The 23,110-nt window shown below is 37.8% G+C and overlaps 1 long non-coding RNA gene across 3 annotated transcripts in view, besides 1 other annotated feature; it reads left to right on the top strand.

Moving 5' to 3' along the window:
- LOC105377557 (uncharacterized) overlaps positions 1-23,110 on the top strand; it is an 88,225-nt gene that overhangs the window by 37,318 nt on the left and 27,797 nt on the right. The window lies entirely within an intron of this gene.
- Positions 8,141-8,660: an enhancer, noted in NCBI's record as "OCT4-NANOG hESC enhancer chr4:178176457-178176976 (GRCh37/hg19 assembly coordinates)". NCBI's record gives its function as "activates a minimal SCP1, AML or CMV promoter by ChIP-STARR-seq in naive H9 embryonic stem cells {active_cell/tissue: H9 hESC(naive)}" and the evidence as "EXISTENCE:reporter gene assay evidence [ECO:0000049][PMID:30033119]".

Here is a 23,110-nt window from a genome sequence, read left to right as displayed (position 1 = left end):
GGGAGCCGTTCCCACCTGGCTGTCTCAAAACCTTTAGACAACTGAAGTAATAGACTCCAATCGGGCTGTTAATTAGACCACTGTAATGTAATAACATATGTGCTTGAGGGGAGGTTATGCTGCCGCCCAGGTATCTCTGGGGTTGGGAACCTGGAATGATGAGTTCCCTAACCTACTTGACCATATCCGACAACAATTCTCCAATTATATTAATTGATATGCAAAATGTTCTTTAATGTCTATTGTCTATATCTCAAATGACTCTAAACTTGGGCAGAGAAGACAGATATGCAATATACTGGGGACCTTACGACCCCATGCATTAGTCCAAGCTCAGTAATCCCTGAAAGGCCTGGGCATTTCCTTTTTCAGGCCCATGGTAAGGGGCTCTGCGTCCTTTGCAGGGAGACCAGAGAAAAGATTTGGCAATATCAAAAAGTGTTTCCTTAAGGAATCTGTTTTACTCTGTATTTGAGGGACTTTTGGCGTTCAGAAGTAGTTTATGTCTAAGAATTAGAAGGCAGAGTCTTTTACTCTTTTATGATGGCAAAATCAGACTTCTGCTTACAATACTAGAGTCTCTAAATTCAGATCTAATAGGACTCTAGTAGCCTGCCTAACTATTTTCGTCCAAGAGACCCCATAGTTAATTAGTAACTACCAAAGATCCCTATGGGAAAAATTATTCTGATGACCTTTCTGTCTCTGCTGCCTATTTCTGTAATCATGAGTATCTTGTTTCTAGCAGTTAAGTGCTGCCATTTAGTCTTCTCCACTCTGGGACCCAGTTGTCTTCACTGAAGTCATTAAGCCTATGTCAAGGACAGCCTTTTCCACCTTCCTTGCTGACCTACTCAGGATATCCAGTATGGTACCTTTCAAGGTGTTATATGTATATTTGTATTAACATATATTTTTAATTTATCTGAAAATAATTTCAAACTTATAGCAAAGTTGCAAAAATAGGCGTATACAAAGAACAATGGTACAGCCTTTACCCAGATTCACTTCTTAACATGTTGCTCCATTTGCTTTATCATAGAGACCCTGTCTCTGCCTCAGCATCTGAGCATAAGATGCATACCTCCTGGTACTTCCTCACTAAGTACTTATTTCTTAAGAAAAAATGTATCCTTGTGTAACAACTGTGTGGTTATCACCTTCAGTAAATGTAATACTAACTCGTATTTTAATCTATCATCTACATTCTATTTTATCAAGCAACCCAGTTATGTCCTTCACTGAATTTGTCTTCCATTATAAAATGTAGTCTAGGGGTAGGTACTGCACTTAATTATGTCTTTTTAGATTCATTTAATTTGAAAGATGTCTAAAGCCTTTCTTTGCCTCCTTTATATGCAGAATATAGTCCTCTCCCACATTTTCAAAAAATAAAACTGCATGTTCCTCATTTTGAGTTTGATGTTTACCCATGTTTAGATTTCAGTCATGTCTTCCCAACTGGGATACTACATAAGGGATATTGTGATTTGATGTCCTTCTCAGGGTATCAAATCGAGAGTCACACAATGTCTATTTGCATCCTTATCATCTGGTCAAGGCATTTGATTTGTATACCATATAGTTACTGCTTTTTACATTGCAATTAATAATCTGTAGTAAAACAATTTAAGATCACGCAAATATTTTGCCTCTTTTAAACATTTATCCTCCTAGTTTTAGCATCAGTTGATGATTTCTGCCTGTCTCAATCTTTACTGTAATGACTGCAAAAATGATGACCTTTTTCCAACTCCACCATCCCTCTGATGTTTATCATTCAGCAGTTGGTGTTCTTCTAAAACAAAAGCCCCTATCTTCTTATTTATTTACTTTATTTATTTATGTATTTTGTATATCTAGGTATAAGTATTTTGCATATAAGTACACATAGAGATATATATTTTGGTATAAACTCATAGTTTTCTATTTTCCCCCTAGTGGTTTATTACATATTTCTGTCTTCTATTTTATTTTTTCTTTTTTTGAGGCACGGTGTCACTCTGTCACCCAGTCTGTAGTGCAGTGGTGCGATCTCAGCTCACCGCATCCTCAAAAGCCCAGGTCAAGCGATCCTTCCATCTCAGCCTCCCAAATAGCTAGGACTACAAGTGCAAACCCCACACCCAGCTAATATCTTATTAGTGTCTCACTGTGTCGCCCAGGCTGGTCTTGAACTCCTTGTCTCAAATGATCCACCTGCATGGCCTCTTCAATTGTTGGGATTACAGGCATGAGCCACTAGGCCTGGTCCATATTTCTGTCTTTAATTATTTTGTTTACCAATTTATTTTTAAATTGCCTAGGTAAATGAAGGGTCCTCTGAGGCACCTCAGGATAAATTTCTATAGATTGAGTAATTTAGTACATAAAATAAACTCATTCCATTTTTATCTAAGTCTTAAAATTCCCTTTTCTGTATTATACTAAATAAGGTTAGGCATGTCACCTTCGTTTTGTGCAGAACACCATTTAGTCCAGGTTCCAGGCAACTAACCAAGTCAACATTTTATACCACAGTGAGAAGCTTCAGCTGGCACATTGAGTCTATAATCTCTGGTAGGTATACCTATATTGATACATTTTGTCTGATCTATATTTCTTTTTCCCTTGTCTATCCTTGTTAGAACCCATTCTCACACATATCCTTCAGCTTCCAGCTAACATTATATATGTATATATATGGATATACATATGTATATATGTATACGTATACATATATGTATATCCATATATATATATATATATTAGCAAAATCATGGATCTATTTGATATGAAACATAACTCTTTCCATGTCAGATTCTGTTCGTTTCCCTAGGACAAGCTGGGATCTAACTCTTGTCATAGGTGTAGTGTCTATGAGGTGCAGCTGTGGCCAGGGTCTCCAAACAAACCAGGGCTTGTTCCATCACAAAGGAGAGAAAGAACCGTTTCTGTGGGTGAAGAGATATTCACTGGTCTTCAGGGATGCAGAGTGTTCAGGTTCAACAGAATCCACCAAAATGTTCCTCATCAGGATTCCACTTTCTGTTGGGAAATACTCCAGCTTTGATGTAAGAGGCATGGAAAGGCTTTGCATTCAGTTTTTGTTGTGATACAGCAAATTATGGACATCAAACTCTGTGTCTGATTTCTGGCTATGTTGGTTATGTGACAGCAGGAGATCATGATAGATGTTTCCCAACCTTGTAACTGTGTGTTGAACTAAGAATTGAAAGCCCAGAGCCTGTCTTTTTTTATTTAAAAATTGCCCAATATAATGAGAAATAGCCAGAGTTCTGTATTCTTTTTACTCTCCTGGATGCTGTATCACAATGGTCATTTCATTTCAAAACCTTCCCTTCAGTAGGCACTTTATTTCAAGTGACTGAAGGTGATCCTATGAGTGGCTCTGTGTCATGGGCCACACATTTTCCATTTTTGAATGACATAGGGATCATCCTTTTTTCACAAAACAGGTCTCACAATCACTCCCAAATTCCCATCTCTCAAGTACAACTGCTTCTAATCCTACTGTATCAGTCAGAACTCAATGTAAAAACAGGGTCTACTGTCAAACCCAATACCTGACAGAGATACAAAAAAAGAAAAGAAAACTTCAGGCCAATATCCTAGATGAATATTAATACAAAAATCCTCAACAAAATACTGGCAAACTGAATCTAGCAACACATCAAAAAGCTTATCCACCACAATCAAGTAGCCTTCATCCCTGGGATGCAAGATTGGTTCAACACACAATCAACAAACAAATCAATAGATGTGATTCATTACATAAACAGAACTAAAGACAAAAACAACAAGATTATCTCAATAGATGCAGAAAAGACTTGTGATAAAATTTAACATCCCTTCATGTTAAAAACTCTCAATAAACTAGGCATTGAAGGAACGTACCTCAAAATAATAAGAGCCATATATGACAAACCCACAGCCAATATCATACTGAATGGGCAGAAACTGGAAGCATTCCCCTTGTAATCTGGCACAGGACAAGATTGCCTTCTCTCACCACTTGATTCAACCTAGTATTGGAAGTTATGGCCAGCGCAATCAGGCGATTGAAAGAAATAAAGGGGATTTGAATAGGAAGAGAGGAAGTCAAACTTTCCCTGTTTGCAGATGATATGATCCTATATCTAGAAAACTCCATTGTCTCAGCCCAAAAGCTTCTTATGCTGATAAGCAACTTCGGCAAAGTCTCAGGATACAAACTCGATGTGCAAAAATTGCTAGCACTCCTATACACCAACAACAGTTAAGCCAAGAGCCAATTCAGGAACCAACTCTTTCACAATAGCCATGAAAAGAATAAAATACCTAGGAATACAGCTAACTAGGGAGATGAAAGATCTCTAAAAGGGGAAGTACAAACCACTGCTCAAAGTAATCAGAGATGACACAAACAAATGGAGAAATATTCCATGCTCATGGATAGGAAAAATCAATATCATTAAAGTGCCCATACTGCCCAAAGCAATTTATAGATTCAATGCTATTCACATTAAATTACCATTGACATTCTTCACAGAACTAGAAAACACTATTTTAAAATTCATATAGAATCAAAAAAGAGCTAAAATAGCCAAGGCAATCCTAAGCAAAAAGAGCAAAGCTGGAGGCATTATGCTATTTAACTTCAAACTATACTGCAGGGCCACAGTAATCAAAACAGCATGGTACTGGTACAAGAACAGACACATAGACTAGTAAAACAGAATAGAGAACCCAGAAATAAGGCCCCACACGTACAACTATCTGTTCTTTGAGAAACCTGACAAAAACAAGAAAAGGGGAATGGATTCCCTATTCATAAGTGGTGGTTCAATAACTGGCTAGCCATATGCAGAAGACTGAAACTGGACCCCTTCTTTACACTGTATACAAAAACTAACTAGTGATGGATTAAAGAATTAAACGTAAACCCCAAACTATAAAAACCCTAAAAGGCAACCTAGGCAGTACCATTCAGGAGAGAGGCATGGGCAAAGATTTCATGACAAAGATGCCAAAATCGATTGCAACAAAAGCAAAAATTGACCAATAGTATCTAATTAAACTAAAGAGCTTCTGCACAGCAAAAGAAACTATCAACAGAATAAATAGACAACCTACAGAAGAGGAGAAAATTTTGCCAACTATGCATCCAACAAAGATCTGATGTTCAGCTCTATAAGGAACTTAAACGAACAACCCCATTAAAACAACCGCGTTAAAAAGTGGGCAAAGGACATGAAAAGACACTTTTCAAAAGAAGACATACATGTGGCCAACAATCATATGAGAAAAAGCTCAGCATCACTGATCATTAGAGAAATGCGAATCAAAACCACAATGAGATACTATCTCACACCAGTCAGAATGGCTCGGAATGGGTCAGAATGACTGTTATTAAAAAGTCAAAAAGTAACAGAAGCTGGCAAGTTTGTGGAGAAAAAGGAATGTTTAAACACTGTTGGTGGGTATGTAAATTAGTTCAACCATAGTGGAAGACGTGTGGCAATTCCTCAAAGACCTAAAGACAGAAATACCATTTGACTCAGCAATCCCATTTCTGGGTAGATACCCAAAGGAATATAAATCGATCGTTCTATTACCAAGACACATGCAAGCATATGTTCACTGCAGCACTATTCATAATAGCAGAGACAGAGTCAACCTAAATGTCCATCAGTGGTAGACTGGATAAAGAAAATGTGGTACACATACACCATGGAATACTATGCAGCCATAAAAAGAACAAGATCATGTCCTTTGCAGGGACATGGATGGAGCTGGAGGCCATTAATCTTAGCAAAATAATGCAGGAGCACAAAACCAAACACTGCATGTTCTCACTTGTAAGTGGGAGCTAGTTTATGAGAACACATGGACACTTAGAGGGGAGCAACACAAACTGGGGCCTTTCAGAGGATGCAGGGTGGGAAGAGGGAGAGGATCAGGAAGAATAACTAACGAGTATTAGACTTAATACCTGAGTGATGTTCGTGACCAGCCTGGCCAACATGGTGAAACCCTGTCTCTATTAAAAATACACAAATTAGCCAGGCATGGTGGTGGGTGCCTGTAATCCCAGCTACTCGGGAGGCTGAGACAGGAGAATCACTTGAACCTGGGAGGCAGAGGTTGTAGTGAGCCCACATCAAGCCACTGCACTCCAGCCTGGGCAACAGAGTAAGACTCCATCTAAAATAATAACAATAATAATAAATACATAGAATAAACCTGGGTAATGAAATAATCTGTTCAAAAACCCCCGTGACACATGTTTACCTATGTAACAAACCTGCACATGTACCCCTGAACTTAAAATGCAAGTATAAAAAGGCAGGGTGCAGTGGCTCATGCCTGTAATCCCAACACTTTGGGAAGCTGAGGTGGGTGGATCATCTGAGGTCAGGAGTTCGAGACTGGCCTGGCCAACATGGCAAAATCCTGTCTCTACTAAAAATACAAAAACTAGCTGGGCATGGTGGCACGTGCCTGTAATCCCAGCTACTGGGGGTGCTGAGGCAGGAGAAATGCTTGAACCTGGGAGATGGAGGTTGCAGTGAGCTGAGATTGTGCCACTGCACTCCAGCCTGGGTAACAGAGCGAGGTTCCGTCTCAAAAAAAAAAAAAAAAGGGAAAAAAAGAATATTTAAAAAAGAGAAAATATAAAAGACAAACAAAAAACACACAGAAAATTCTAGGCTTCCATTAAGGAATACTGGAAGGATAGATTGTAGTTGCGCCACCAGAAATGACTTCTTCAATCAAGATCCACAGGGGACCTGCTCTACTGAGACAGCTGCTGCGCTTGAGAGTGTCTGTGACGCAGGATGAGGAATCCGAGGCTGATGCCACTGCTGCCTCTGACAGAACTTCCCGTGAAAGCAAAAGAAGCAAAGAAAAAGACATTCAATGATTGAAGCAGAAAATCTTCAAATTTCCATATTCTTTTTAGAAAAAACATCGAAAAAAGACAAGAAAATGGTTTTGGCTTGACTTTCACTTTCCACATCTCACTCAAATGCATTTAATCTGAGGAATCTGATGTGTATCAAGGACCCTAGAGCAATAGATAAATGTTGTTTAGTTTCCCCAGATCTCAGTTAGAGATGCGTTGGAATCTAGGTTGAACAAACTAGTCGACAATATTTAACAGGGCCCAACAGTGAGAACTGCCACGTTTAGATCAGGAACAAGGAAACCTATGGACAGATGTGTTGTTAATGAGAGTTGTAAGCAGTAAACATTTGGCTCAATTCTCATAATGTGTATTTATATATCATACCTCATAAAACTCATAAAGAGGATGATTCTGATTCCCCCAGAATGAAGTTTATGATACTTATTGTCCTCTTTTGTTTAATATTCTTAAATCATGAAAATAAATGGCAGCTAGTTCATGTCCAAAGTGATTTTGATATTGAGTTGTACACATTATGGTAATGCATTTTTCTTTTCTAATAAAGCCTTATATTATCGTCAATTAATCAATAATTGTATATGACTTATTAATATATCTGTATTTTAGACATAGCAAGACCTAGCTGACTTTTTTAACAGGATGGTATGGAAGACCCAGTTCACTCCGAGTAAGAAAGCATCATGTCTTCTCTTTGAGAAAACTGGGCCAAACTGAGGATGCTGGCCACGTGACCTACTCATGACTGCTAAGCAACAGAATGGCTGATATGACAGATTTGTTAATATAGATTCTGGTGTAAGCATATCTCTTTCCCTTTTTTGTATTTTGTTGTTTTTATCAGTACTGTATTTTCAATGAAGAAGAAGTTCATAAGGAAAAAATGAAAAATATAACTCTAAGCTAATTGGCTTTGAAGCTTTGGGGGATTCATTTTATTATGGAAGATCAACTGGAAGATAAATGCACATACACAGCATGAAAAATATCGACCCCACAGAAACCACAGGAGAAAGCTCAATTGGCTGGCAATGCTATCTGATTCAAAAGTGTATATACATAAACTAACTTGCATTGTGTTTGTTTTATTTATACTTGTTTATCTCTTCCAAGCAAGGACTTACTGATTACTTGAAAAAGAAGTCAATTAAAGGGGAAAGGCTAAGATAAGAGAAGAAGCTGTTTTTAAAAAATACCTTTCTGATATCTTATTTAGAGGTTTTCATTGTGTGGTAAATTATTTTGTTAAATTTTATATTTTAACTTATGCTTGCAAGTTTTTTATTATTTAATACTTTAGCCCCTTTAATTCTTGCCTAAAAATATTTATTCCTCAAGCATTAATGAGAGAAGAATCTCTTCCATCTAGGCAATAAGGAAAATAAAGTGGCTACATATTAGAGTCGAGTTTTCAACTCTTGTCTGGCCTTTTGTGTAAGAACAGTTGGCACTTAAGAACACCTTTTCAAGGTGAAGTCCTCTAACTGCTTTTGTAAGCATGTGTGGGGTCATGAATAACAATGGCTTCACAGGGAGAATACATCTTCACATCTGATGGAGCATCTCGGAGATTCACTCCATTCCCAAATCTCTCTGAACAATATATATTAATCTTCAGAAGTGATAACCTTAATAGAATATGGTGCAAAGTTTTAAATGTTATTTCTCATACTGTCTGATTTATTGAAAATAGGTAGTACTTCCAATGATATCACAAAACTAACAACCATCTGACCCCAACTACAGTTACAGAATATGACAGATACAAAATATTGTTATAATGAACCAGAAGAGGTATCTGGTTTTTGTTGCAGTAGAATTTAGATCTAAGGGGTACATAACTATAATTTGCATTTCTGGGACAAAAGAACTTGAGAACCAAAAGAGCTAAACATTTGCACATCGAGTTTGTATCCTGAGACTTTGCCGAAGTTGCTTATCAGCTTAAGAAGCTTTTGGGCTGAGACAATGGAGTTTTCTAGATATAGGATCATATCATCTGCAAACTGGGAAAGTTTGACTTCCTCTCTTCCTATTCAAATCGCCTTTATTTCTTTCAATCGCCTGATTTTGCTTTTGAAATTAGCAATGGAGAAAAATGCTTCAGCAAAGTTAGCGCAATGATTTGACAAGACTCACAAATATCCCAAAGATCTACTCATAAGCTTCTAATACGTGTAAAGAGTATAGAAGAGCAGGAGAAAGAAATCACTGTCAATAACTGATCATAGAGAGGTTTGAATATTTCCAGCCACAGCCCTGTAATGTTCTTCCTTATTCAGATAGGATGTAGTTCATCTTTGGTTATGAATCCCTAAGGTTGGTCTGAGATGTCGTAGTGTTGGCAGAGCCTAAGCACAAGTTTACAGGGGGACTTATATACCCCAGACCACATAGGGAAAGACAGGGTGTATGACAAGTTAAAGCAGGCACAAGCTATCAATCTGTGCTGTCTTTTCCAAACCCTATAAAAACACATAACCAAGCCTTCATCTCTATTGCTTTTGTATTCTTACTTCTCTTGTTTTGATTCCTAATGTTTGTGGTTCTGGATTCCGGATTCCTTATCTGACTTCTATTCTCAAACTCATTTACACCTTTGATTCTTTTTTCTCATCTACACTGGCTATTATAATGATTTGGTACAGAAAATAAGAAAATGAAAGACATAAAACTTTATCTACATCTTTTCTGTCTGTGTTTTAGTCCATTTGTGCTGCTATAACAGAATACCTGAGATTGGGTAATTTATAATTAATAAAATCATCATTGGCTTATGATCCTGGAGACTGGGAAGTCCAAGATTGAGGAACTGGCTTCTGGCAAGGGCCTTCTTGCTGTGTCATGTCATGGCAGGTGGCAGAAAGGCAAGAGAGGGCAAGAGAGTAAGAGGGGGCCATATTCTTTCTTTTATAAAGGCACTGATCCCACCTCTAAGAGTGGAGGCTTCATGGCCTAATCACTTCTTGAAGGTCCTACATCATAACACTCTTACAATAGCAATTGAATTTTAACATGAGTTTTGGAGGGAACAAACATTCAAGCCATAGCAACCTGCAAAATTTTTATGTTATACTTGGTGGCTCATTTGTAAGTTAAAGTTCATAGGACGGAGATTTGGGAGTAAGGAATTTAAATGAGTTCCTTGGGAAGGAGATGAGAATAATTGCTTTAAATGTCATATAGATGTGGAGTATTCACTTTAAATTCATTAATTATATATAGAAACCACGTTATGGGTTAATGACATTCACTGTAAAGATTCTATCTGCATTTATATTTTTATATTCACAACTTTTGGAATATTACCCATAAGAGATCTTATGGGTAATATTAGATCCCTTAGACTTAAATGTAGACAGCCTGTGCCGACATTTGCCACATAATATGTGCAAGTACATTTTACTATAATGTCATTGTGTTTGTCTGGATTAGAGCAGGATTTTCCTGTTACTATAGTGGCCCTCACACTCTGCTGTAGTGTGGGTGACTGATTCTCTCCCACTTGCCTTCCTTACAAAGGCTGATTTGACTGAATCTCTTGACCTAGGCTTCCTTTTTGAAGTTGCCAGAATGGACCTCATTGGCTTTTTCAGAAAGTTTAATGTCCTGATGAAGTTCAATATCTCTCAAGGATATTCTATAGAAATCAAGTTCTGTAATAAAGTCTTTATCAGTGTAATCAGGACACATCTAACAAATGTTGGCCAGGGACTGTGGCTTAAACCTGTAATCCCAGAACTTTGGGAGGCCAAGACAGGAGGATCACTTGAGGCCAGGAGTTTAAGCACGGATAGCAGAGTGAGACCTTGTTTCTACAAAAAATTTAAAAATTAGCTGGATATGACAGCATGCACCTGTAGTCCCAGATACTCAGGAGGCTGAGGCGGGAGGATTGCTTGAGCTCAGGGGCTCAAGACTGCAGTGACCTACGATTGCACCACTGCACTCCAGCTTAGGCTACAGAGCAAGAGATCCTGTCTCCAACAAATAAATAAATAAATATGAATAAACAAATAATAATAATAAAATTAACATTTATTAAGTACTTACCATGTGCCAAGTTCTGTACTAAACAATTTACATGTATGGACTCATACAATCCTGAATAATTTTATGAGGAAAAACTGTTATAATTCCCATTTTATAGATGGGGAAACTGAAACAGAGGAAGGTTTAGTAATTTGCCCAAGTGCACACAGTAGGAAAAGACTGAACTGGTATTTAAATAGATATATTAGTGAGAAAGTCCCAGAGTTAACATAAAGTGAATCACAACAAAGCAAGAAAACCTGTAATAATAATTATCAAAAAGCTTCTTTTTTAAACCATTGTTCTTCATACTTGTCCATGGACTGTGCATTTTGAGGTAACACCCATCACTACAGTGTACGCTTTGGGAAATGCTTCATTAATTCAGTTAGATCCTCTATGACTGTACTTCCAGACCTCAGCTCTGAAGTTCCAGAGTCCTTTAGGAGCCTTGACTAAATAGGTCTGAAATTTTCCAGGGAGGGGTTTCAAGATATTCCATCACATTTACTTTAGAAATCCACAAAGTGATGGGAATAAGCTAAAGGTGTCTCATTCAATTTCCACTGTTACTGAAGGCGTGTTCTGCAAAGGCAGGAATTTTTGTGGGTTTCATTCTCTTTTATATCTCTGACAGAATCATGCTTAGAACATAGTGGGTAGTCAAAAGATATTTGATAAATAAGTGCATTAAATAGCCATCATAGATCATAACCTGATTATATACCAGATTTGCCTTGAACCCTGAAGTTTAGAAGAGAATGGCAAGGGAGAACAGAAACGGATTTCAAAGGTCTGTCCTCTGCATTCCCCATTCCACTTGTTCTCACTGCTATTCTTATTCCACAACTCTCAAGAAAATTAAGATGTTTGTCCCAGTGGACTGGAAATGTTTGGTATCTAGTTTCCTATAAGGACAAGGAAAATATTTTCACTCACGAATTCAGATAATGATACTTTTTGAAGGTTACTATGTGGTAGCCATTGGACATTTGGTAATGAACAAAATACCATGTAAGTAAGCACTTGCGTAATAATTACTATGGTCCTTTTATAAATGATGCATGTATATTTATATATATTCTCATATACATATTATATACACACAGTATGTGACAAGATATGTGATAGGCACCATGAAGTGTTTCACAGTATCATTACTAAACGTAATTTTTCCAAAGATATACACTATGTGTATATATGTCATATATAAAAATGTGTATATATGTCATATATAAAAATGTGTATATAAAAACAATATGTACATATACTCACTGAACCATCATCACACTTTACATATGAGAAAAATAGAGCCAAAAAGTTAGCAGAGGGCCATTATGAGCCTAATTAGCCATTGTCTACAAGCCAAATTTTTACAGTAAGCTATGGTCCCCACTTCAACTTTAGTGGAAATGAGAGACATCTACTCACACAAATGCCTACCAAATCCCACAAATGTGACAGGTGCTGTGACAGAGCAGCAGAGGGTGTTATGAGAGACGGCAGTGGAGGGAAAGTCAGAATGGGACTCTGATGAAATGACATTTAAGCTGAGACCTGAAAGGAGGGGAGTGGTTGGCCAAGAAAGGGCGGGGAAGGCATTCTAGATAAAGGAAACTGTGCAAGGCCGAGGCAGAGCAGGTGCACGCAGCCTTATACTGTTGAAGGAACTGGAGGAAGTGCATCGCAGTGAGAGCTTAGGAGTTGGGTGCAGGGCAGGGAAAAGGAACGCAGGACACAGCAAGAAGAGGCTGGAGAGTGGGGTCAGAGGGGCATATCACGTCCACAATGTAAACCATGCAAAATTTTACACACTTTTAATTTCAATAGGAAGTCACTGGAAGATTTTAGCAAGGATGTGACATTATCCTATTTATGTTTTGGAAATGTTAGTCTGCTTTTTGCACTTCCATAGCAATAGATAGTCATGATAATACATAGCACATTTATAAAAGAATATTTATTCTTTTAACAGATGTTTTCTTGATTACTTCAACTAGCTCATTTGTATCACAGATACCATGTGGACAACAGAAACCATATTTACATTTAAAAGTATTTAAAATGAAAATGTTTTGCTGTAAATAAATATGATATGTAAAAGAAGCAAATTTAGAAACTGTGTGTTACTAGGAAGAAAAGGAAAAGACGTGACAGAGACACTATTAAGTGCTTCACAGTATCGCTGATGGAAGTTATCAAAAGGAACCTTTTTAAAGCTACACAATGCTCATTGGCTATGTAAATGTTAAAAAACATGTATTTAGATATTTAGGACAATATTTACTATGAGGACTTCTCATGCAGTGAAATGCAGATGTAAACTTTTATTAATACATAATTATATGATAGAATTAATAAACTCTTTACTATTTCATGTGTATTTAAAATATTATGAATTAAAAGGCAAAAAAGCAACAACGTTTTAATAAAATTTAGTCAAAAAGGAGGCTTACTTTGTCCTGTATAACGAAGAGCTAAGACTAATAGGTTTGCATTGATAATGTATGTTCTTTGCAAAACTACCATCTAGAAAAAAGAACTTAGCTACCTTTAGGGTGCCCAACGTTTGTATCTTATATAAACAAGCTGTCGTTTAGAATCAGAAGTAAAATCCATGGCCTATGGCACTGGTTAAAAGCAGACACTCTTGCTCTAACAGCTCCAACCTGGGCTGGTTGGAGATTGGCAGGAACTCAGCGGGAAACATCCAGAGCGGGCTCACGGTCCAGCAGCGCTCCCAGGAGGGCGATGGCAGAATAGCAGCCTGTTAGGCGGCGGGAGGAAGGCGAGGCACCAGTTACTGATACGTATGTCTGAGAGCGAGTCTGAAGGAGAGGAAAGACTGCAGAAGGCATGGAGGTGACAGGTTAGACAGCAAGAGAAATGGCATAATGCAGAGCCGGTTAATGACTCTGGCAGCTTTCCACCTCTGAGAATGTTACAATTGGTGAGGGAGGATGGCACATGTGAATTATCTCTTGGTAAGAGGGAAATCCTTGACTTGAAAGACCTGAATGTTCTTGTCTATCAGGACACAATGAAATATTTAGATTCTGGGATAACAATGTACTAATGCTAGTTTTCTAGAGGTTATGTTATTGAATCTGTTGCCTGTCAAATTTGAGAATACAAATGAAAAAAAATACCTGATTAATAAAGCCTAGAATATGTGCTAGTGATTGCAACATTCTGGTGAAAGGTTGTTCCGTTGGTTATTTGCCATTGATAAATTTTGGGTACAGCCAAATCATCACTGGACTCTCAGTAAATTGTACAAGAAATTGTTGGTTCATATTTTTAGGTGACCTAAAAATGCATAATATTCAAAATATAAGTGGAAAATATTAGTCAGCCAGATACCTCTTCTTTTTAATTATGCAAACGCAATTATTCTTTTAAAAAGAGCTGGAAAAGAGATGCCACTGTAGTGTTGGAGATCCTGCAGATATAAATTAGGAGTGAGCAGGGGTGGGGACAATTTTGGTTTAGCAATAAAAGGCATTTAGTAACACATCCAAGCTATGACAAGGCAGTGTAGAGAGGTGTGCTGAATTCTTCTTTGGCTCAAGGTTTCTCGGATTTTAGGTTTTCTGCCATTCACTGTGTTTAGGCAACTTGATTAGTACATCTTGATAGTAACAGTACATGTCTCTCAGTTTTAGTGTGAGTATTGGCTGGGCACGGCGGCTCACACCTGCAATCCCAGCACTTTGGGAGGCTGAGGCAGCAGGATTGCTTGAGCTTAGGAGTTCAAGACCAGCCTGGGCAACATAGAGAGACACTGTCTCTGCATTAAAAAAAAAAAAGGAAAAGAAAGTGGAGTGTTCTAATATGACTCATGTAAAAGCTGTTAAGATAAAAAAAATCAGAACCAGTTTGTTTTTTTCACTTACAAGCCTTATCAGAAATTGAATTTAGTTTCAAAGATGAATTATTCTCATTTAAGTAGTTGTGTAACTGTGCATAATGTCGTAACTATTTGATAGCTAAAGACTAATATTTTATGAAACACATACCTCTATGCCAGGCATGAGGCACCGTGTCAGTAAAATAGACTTGGTCTTTCCCCTTCATAGAGCCTAGAGGATAATTTATTAATCTTAGAGGATAATGTATTCATCAAATTAACCATGATGTGGTTAATTTGTAGCTTGTGTTAGAATACAAAGAAAAAAGAACAGTTCAGAATGTTTAAAAAGGATTGGCTTTGGGTAGAGAGTTCGATACCCGCACTTTAAGCCAGGCAGCTGCAGAATGGGGAGACCTTGGTGGTAACTAAAATGGAGCCATAGTAGGTAAGGATGGAGAGGATATGGGTGAAAATCCTATGCCAGGCACTGAGCATGAACACATGCATGATTAATTTCCGTGCAGTCTGATGAAGTAGATATTCTTACTATCTACATTCAATACTCAGGGAATTTGAGGTTGAGGCGCAATTAAACAAATTGCCCAAAGTCCCACAACTAGTAAGTGCATATTTTAATATTTCTCATTGCATACAAAATTAGACAATGGAAGATTTTTAGAAAGAAAGGATTAAAACTACTAGGGCTTTAATACACACAAATAGATATTAGTAAAAATGCAGAGATGCCCAAGATAGGCATTATAATGAGACTCAACAATTGTGACCCCCTCACTCTTCTCTGTATACATTTATTGCTATCACAAACCTCCCCAATATTTTCCTGCTCATGTTCCTTCTAGAAAGAAGTCTTGGCCGGCTACAGTGGCGCATGCCTGTAATCCCAGCCCTTTGGGAGACTGAGGCAGGCAGATCGCTTGAGGTCAGGTGTTCGAGACCAGGCTGGCCAACATGGTGAGACCCCGTCTCTACTAAAAATACAAAAAATTAGCCGGGCATCATGGTGCATACCTGTAATCCTAGCTATTTGGGAGGCTGAGGCAGGAGAATCACTTGAACTTGGGAGGCGGAGGTTGCAGGGAGCCGAGACTGCGCCACTGCACTCTGCACTCTAGCCTGGAAAACAGAGTAAGACTTCGCCTCAAAAAAAAAAAAAAAAAAAAAAAAAAAAAAAGAAGAAAGAAAGAAAGAAATCTGCAGAATATAATAATGATTAGACATGAACCTGCAAGGTTAAAGTATCTATCAGGAACAATTTCCTGTTTTTTTGTTTTGCTTTGCTTTTTTTTTTTTTTTTTTGTCTCTTTCGGCCAGGTGCGGTGGCTCACGCCTGTAATCCTAGCACTTTGGGAGGCCGAGTTGGGCCAATCACCTGAGCTCAGGAGATGGAGACCAGACTGGCCAACATGGTGAAACCCCGTCTTTACTAAAAATACAAAAATTAGCCGGGCATAGTGGCGGGCGCCCGTAGTCCCAGCTACTCCAGAGGCTGAGGTGGGAGAATCGCTTGAACCTGGGAGGCGGAGGTTGCAGTAGCCCGGATCGCACCACTGCTCTCCAGCCTGGGCTACAGAGCGAGACTCCGTCTCAAAACAAAAATAAAAACAAAAACAAAAACAAAACAAAAAAAATCTTAGCAGGAAGCAAATGAAAGGTCAAAGCAGATTATTGCAGTCAGTGGGCACTCAACTAAGGGAAGCTTATAAAATGAAAACAGAAAAAAATCCAAAAAGGCTTCGCCTCCTTCCTTTCATAATAAAATGCTGACACAACCTTAATTATACTGTTATAAACAGTGCTGTTGGACCACTGCTTCACCATATGGGACTGAGAACTATAAATATGTTAGATATTGGTTCTTAGGAAGGGAAAATATAGAATATATCCTTTGTACGAATCATATTTTTATGAGGCTGCTGAAGAGTAGCTGAGTGTTGAATCAAATCACGAATTCTCAAGGCCATCATAATCAGAGTAGGCAAAGTATATATTTGCTCAGGGAAACATCTGTTAAGAAATTTCTCCTGAGTCTCATCAGTAGTTGGCAAGCTTTACTGCTTTAGCTATGTTTTCATTATTGGCCTGTCTGCAGAATAGTTTACACTGGTTGTCCTTGTATCATTAATTCACCGGTAAAGAAATAACCTTTTTAATGGCCCGCCTTTGTTGATAATGCTCACAACAAAATTTAAATTTTAAATAGTCACTCAGTGATTTGTATTTTATTCAGTTGTGCTCTTGAATTTTATGTACATGCACAGAGCTCTGAAAAAGGATAAAAATAGTAAGTTATGAACTGATTGTGAATCATCCATGGTGTTTACAGTTCAGTTGCTTTTGGAGCATTGCAGAAGTTGTGTCTTTAACTAATAATGCTTGGTTCGTAGGAGTCACACCATTACTTCTAATACTTCTCAGTGAAATTATTGAAATCAGCGACATAAAATATACATGGACTTTTTTTTTTAGTTCGAGTAGAGGTACCTTCCAGCAAAATATGCTTTCATCAAACTATCAAATTGATAATAGGAAACAAAACATTTTCTGGAAAAAGAAAAAGACAACCAGAAAATCATCTTTTTTGATACAGTTATCTCATAGGTATCTGTTAGCAGTGGCATGAATAAAATATTTCATAAACTTTTTGGACATAATTACCATTAAAACATACTGGCCAGCATCATATTATTTTCTCTCTAGATTTCCATTTAGTGCTTTCCGTGTGTCACAGAGTCAATGTAAAGCTACCTGGATAAACCCATTAATGAATTGTTGCATAATGTTTTGTAGTTGCTTTGCAAGTGAATTATTTTTGCTGTGGTACTGCTAATACAGCAACCTCTATGCCGTCTATGATTACTAATACGGAATAATAAAAAATTGTAACTTGGTCCAACATTTTCTCTGGTCAAAATGTTGATATAACTTGGCTAAAAATAAGCATGGAGAAAAACACAAGCACTATTTTGTGGTGTGTGAGATCGACCTGCAGTTGTTAACGCTGTTATTAAGTTTCAGTGACTGTTTAGGTCATCAATCTCTGACAAGAACCTTTCAGAGTGCTTGATGATATTGCAAGTAGCAAGCTGTGCTGCATTAAAAGATGATGAATCTCTGTTCAGGTAAAGCTTTGCCCTTTGGCTATCATAATGTATCACCACTTTGTTTACAAATGGGTATTCACTACGCTAAATGGCAACAGAGTGCATGCGATTTTATAAATACGAAACGTTGGCACTAGCTAATATCTGAACATCTAGTTGAAAGTGCAGTTGGAAGTCTAGGGAAAATAATCATAGTTACTTACAAGATAAATAATTTTGTAAATTAAAATTGTTGGGATTCAGCTATTTAAATGATTACAAGTTATGTTTTAAAATAACATGTTTCTATAGAATAACTCAATTTTAACCCTTGGTTTTCTCTTAAAAAAGTCTTTCCATTTTTTACCTAAACATAAATGTGGAAGCATCATACATAAATTTGATAATTTATCAATTTCAAAGGAATCTCTAATCTTTGCTATTAGATTCATGGAGCCACCAGCCACATTTTGTCCAGGTTAGTATTGTTTTAGACAAGAGTCTTATTTTTGGTAGGAAAATTATTTTCTGAACGCAGCAAAATGGAAATGACTTTATCTCTTCTTTTACTGATTGGTTTAAATGCAGCGAAGTGTTACTCCCTTGTATCCTTGCTTATTAATCAAAGGTGACATTTTACAGGCGTGTAGGAGGAAAACCATGTAGTGTTTACCGTAACAACTCCTTTTGTTTTTGAGAGAATGTCTCACTCTGTCACCCTGCTGGAGTGCAGTGCTGTGATCATGGCTCACTGCAGCCTTGATGTCCCAGGCTCGAGTGATCCTCCCACTTCAGCCTCCTGAGTAGCTGGGACTACAGGTGCACACCACCACGCCACGCTAATGTTTTGTATTTTTTTGTAGAGACAGGGTTTCACTACGTTTCCCAGGCTGGTCTCAAATTCCTGGGCTCAAAGTGAGCCACCTGCCTCAGCCTCCCAAAGTGCTGGTATTACAGGTATGAGCCACCATGCTCGGCCTAAAGTCATAAAATATTACAGAAAGTATTGTACCTTGGCTACCCTTCCCTGGTTACCTTCCTTCCCTCCATTCATATCCTGATACATTCATATCATTAGAGCATTTATTAATTTCACATATACATTTGAACTATTACTGTATAATTTATCCATAAATATAATGTAACATTTTGTATATTTTCAGTGTTTTTAAAAATATGATGAGAATATGTGTATTATTATTTAATTTGCATTTATTTGCTCAGTATTCTATTTTTGAGTTTTCACCATGTTAATGCGTAGATCCCTGATTCATTCCTTTTAAGTGCCGTGTATTAAGCTGTTGATGGAGTATACCACAGTTCATTATCCATTCTTTTTTTTCTGATGAGCTGTTAGGCCTGTGTCCAATGTTTCACATTACAAACACCATATTTTAATATCCCACCATCTGTCTGCTTATGCACGTGTGCTCCGTTTCTCTAGGAGAGTATGCACCTGGAAGTTTAAATGTTGTGCGTATCTACAGCTTCACTGGGACATTGCTCTATTTCCCTCCAGGGTATTTTTAATAGATTTATCTTTTCATCAAAGTGTGCAAGTTTTCTATTTTTCCACAACCTCGTCAATGATATTATAAAATATTTTTAAGTTTTATTAATCCGATGGATATGTTTTTCACTATTGCATTCTTTTTCATTTCCCTACTTAAAAATGAAATTATCTTTTCATACATTTATTGAGCATTTGGCTTCATCACTGAATTATTTATATCCTTTTAAAATTTCTTTTTTTGCCTATTTTCTTATTAATTAGTAGGAATTCTTTATATATTATTGTATCTAATTCATTTGTTAGTTACATGAATTGCCAGTAACTTCTCCAATTGGTGGCTAGTCTTTTTACTTGTGAGCTGGACTTTCTGCCTGGGAGTCCTGCCTCTCTTTCTTCTCCTGTGACAACCCTATGCATTTCAGGTCTAGCTTAAATTCCATGTCATTTATTAATTACCCTCCTCTCCTCATGGAGTTATAAAATATTTTTTCTCAAATCAATGAATCTAAGCCCTTTATTTGACAAATGGGGGAAAAGGGACTAAGAGAGTTGAATCAAGATTATGAAATGTGACATTTGATATTCTGTTCTGACTTTTAATTTCAACATACTTGTAAAATATAACTATTAAATATTGCTTATAATAACTTTCTGTCTATGAAGGTTTAGAATTCTTTTTTGTATTGGGATTGTTTTTTATAGTGTGCAACTTTTAGATCTGAAAGGAAATGCAGTGCTGAAATGCACCATGTATTAATTGTGGTTGTAATGTTAATCCTCAATTTAGAAGATTAAAATTGTAGAGTGAATGGACATTATTCTCAAAATGAGTTTTTTTTTGTTTTTGTTTTTGTTTTTTTTTTTTTTTTGAGATGGAGTCTTGCTCTGTCACCCAGGCTGGAGTGCAGTGGCATGATCTCGGCTCACTGCAACCTCTGCCTCCTGGGTTCAAGCGATTCTCCTGCCTCAGCCTCCTGAGTAGCTGGGACTACAGGTGCGTGCCACCACACCCAACTAATTTTTGTATTTTTAGTAGAGACGGGATTTCACCGTGTTAGCCAGGATGGTCTTGATCTCCTGATCTTGTGATCTGCCCGCCTCGGCCTCCCAAAGTGCTGGGATTACAGGCATGAGTCACTATGCCCGGCCAGTAAGTTTTTTATAAATACAAGGTGCTAATAGATGTTATATACCTGTATTTGCATTGTTTTAGTTTCATATAATAATCTAGCATAAATCCCTGTAACATCCAATTTAAGAAGAAAAACTTAGGTAAAATGCATCCCAACTCTAAAGACTTAGTTTACATTATTCATCACTAGTCCCACTAAAATAATAAATAATACAGCCTAGTCTTTATGAAGACTAGAAAGATTTAAGTGACTGAAAAATTAGCAGTTTTTTGCATTAGGATGTATAAAGCTTTATGTCTAAGCATCTTGAAATGCTGACAAAGAAACTTTTTTTGGCAAGAAAAAGTGCTGTATGGTAATTTTTACATTTTTAAAGAATGAGTAACAAGTAAGGTTTTTAAAAATTTAAATCTCATCAGACTAGCATAGAAATTTAGAGCTCAAAGAGACCTTCGAAATAATCAAATCCAATGTTTTCACAAGTAATGAAACTGAATTCTAAGAAAGTTAACGAACTTCTCTTAGAAAGCACAGCAAATTAGCCAGAATCAGAACTACAATTGAGATCTGCTGTTTCCTGTCAAGCCTCCCACTAAGCGGGCTGTGTCTCTAGACATCACGCATGCTGAGAATGGATTTTTAAAAATATGAGATGGTTACTTTTATTACAAGATTCATTCTACACGAAAGCTTATGGATCCTTTGCTCAATTTGTAGGATGGAACGGAGTGTTTGGCATCTCCACTTCATCTTTCGTAAAGGCTGAATGAACTCTTTGCTGCCACTTATTGAAGATAAAAGGAGGCAGAATTACCCTTAAGTAAATACTTTGGCCTCAGTATTTCCTCCACTTTGTACATTAATAAAAATCCCTTTCTTTCACCCTGTCATTTGACTGTCATTGTCAATCTACATAGAATGTTTCTTCATGAGAGGGCTTATTCATTCAACAAGATTTTATGAACCATCTGCTACTGACCAGAAACTGTGGTAGTCACTGGAGTGCCAAGTAAGATAAGTGGCCATGGAGTGCCATGGCATTCTTGTAGCACACATATTGTAGTAAAAGTAATCTTCACATACTGTTTAAAATATATTTATTGCAAATGTAATGTGAAGGGACACAGGGTAATCAATAGAGTAAAAAGGCAAAAAAATCTTAAAATGAGAACAGAAAAGTACTGATTGGTTGGGCAAAATGAAAGCCATTGATGACTTTAGTGATTTGAAGAGTGAGGTGAAAATCTGGAGTAACTTCTGAGAAAGTGACGATGGCAGCATTGAGTACCCAGCTGAAGGTGGACTGAAGCTGGATGGCAGTTGATCATTTTGCACAAAGTAAAGTGGCCTAGGGATTGGAGGTCTCGCTGAAGATGAAGAGCGGCTGGAATGGCAGTAAGAAAGTGAATGAGGCCGGGCGCGGTGGCTCACGCCTGTAATCACAGCACTTTGGGAGGCCGAGGCGGGTGGATCACGAGGTCAGGAGATCAAGACCACCTTGGCTAACACAGTGAAACCCCATCTCTACTAAAAATACAAAAAATTAGCCGGGCGTGGTGGCACACGCCTGTTAGCTCAGCTCCTTGGGAGGTTGAGTCAGGAGAATTGCTTGAACTCGGGAGGTGAAGGTTGCAGTGAGCTGAGATGGCGCCACTGCACTCCAGCCTGGGCTACAGAGCAAGACTCCATCTCAAAAAAAAAAAAAAAATGTGAATGACTTTGAAGGACTGATTTGGTCAGAGGATGCCATTATGGAATTTGGATTTCAGAGATGATAAAATGCAAGAGATGTAGGGTTCAGGGTTCTCCAGAGAAACAGAAACAATAGGATATTGATGTATCTGTCTATCTGCCTATTCATCTAGAGAGAGAGGCGGGGAGAGAGATGCTGTGCTATGGACTAGATTGTGCCCACTTCCCTTGATTCAGATGTTGACGCCCTAACCTTCTATGTGGTGGTATTTGTAGTTGGGTCCTTTGGTAGGTAATTAGGTTTAGATGAGGTCGTGAAGGTGGAGTCCTCTTGATGGGATTAAGAGCTCTTCCAAGACGGAACACCAGAGAGGCTGCTCTCTCTCCTCCTTGTGATGAGACAGTGAGAAGGTGCCATGTGCAAACCAGGAAGAGAACCCTCACCAAGAATTGACCTCTTCCAGAGCTTTGATATTGGACTTTCCAGTCTCCAAATCTATGTGAAAATAAATTTCAATTATTTAAGCCACCCAATCTATGGTATTTGTATTGGCAGCCTGATGAGACTAACACACACACACACACACACACACACACACACACCTTAAGGACCTGGCTTCTGTGATTGTGGAGTATTAGAAGTTTGAAATCTGTACGGTGGACCAGCAGGCTGGAAACTAAGTTGGGAACTGATACTGCAGTCTTGAGTTTGAAATCCACAGGGCAAGGAGGTGGGCTAGAAACTCAGGAGAGATTTGATGCAGCAGCTTGGAGGCAGAATCCTGGGATGGGCTGTGGAAATGAAGACAAAGTACCTGTCATTGGAGTTGAGGATGAGCACATGCAGAGCTAGGCTATTGGTTGATTCATGTGCAG

The sequence above is a fragment of the Homo sapiens genome, chromosome 4, assembly GCF_000001405.40.
Source record: "Homo sapiens chromosome 4, GRCh38.p14 Primary Assembly".
Classification (NCBI taxonomy): Eukaryota; Metazoa; Chordata; class Mammalia; order Primates; family Hominidae; genus Homo; species Homo sapiens.
This window is presented reverse-complemented; position numbering and strand designations above follow the sequence as displayed.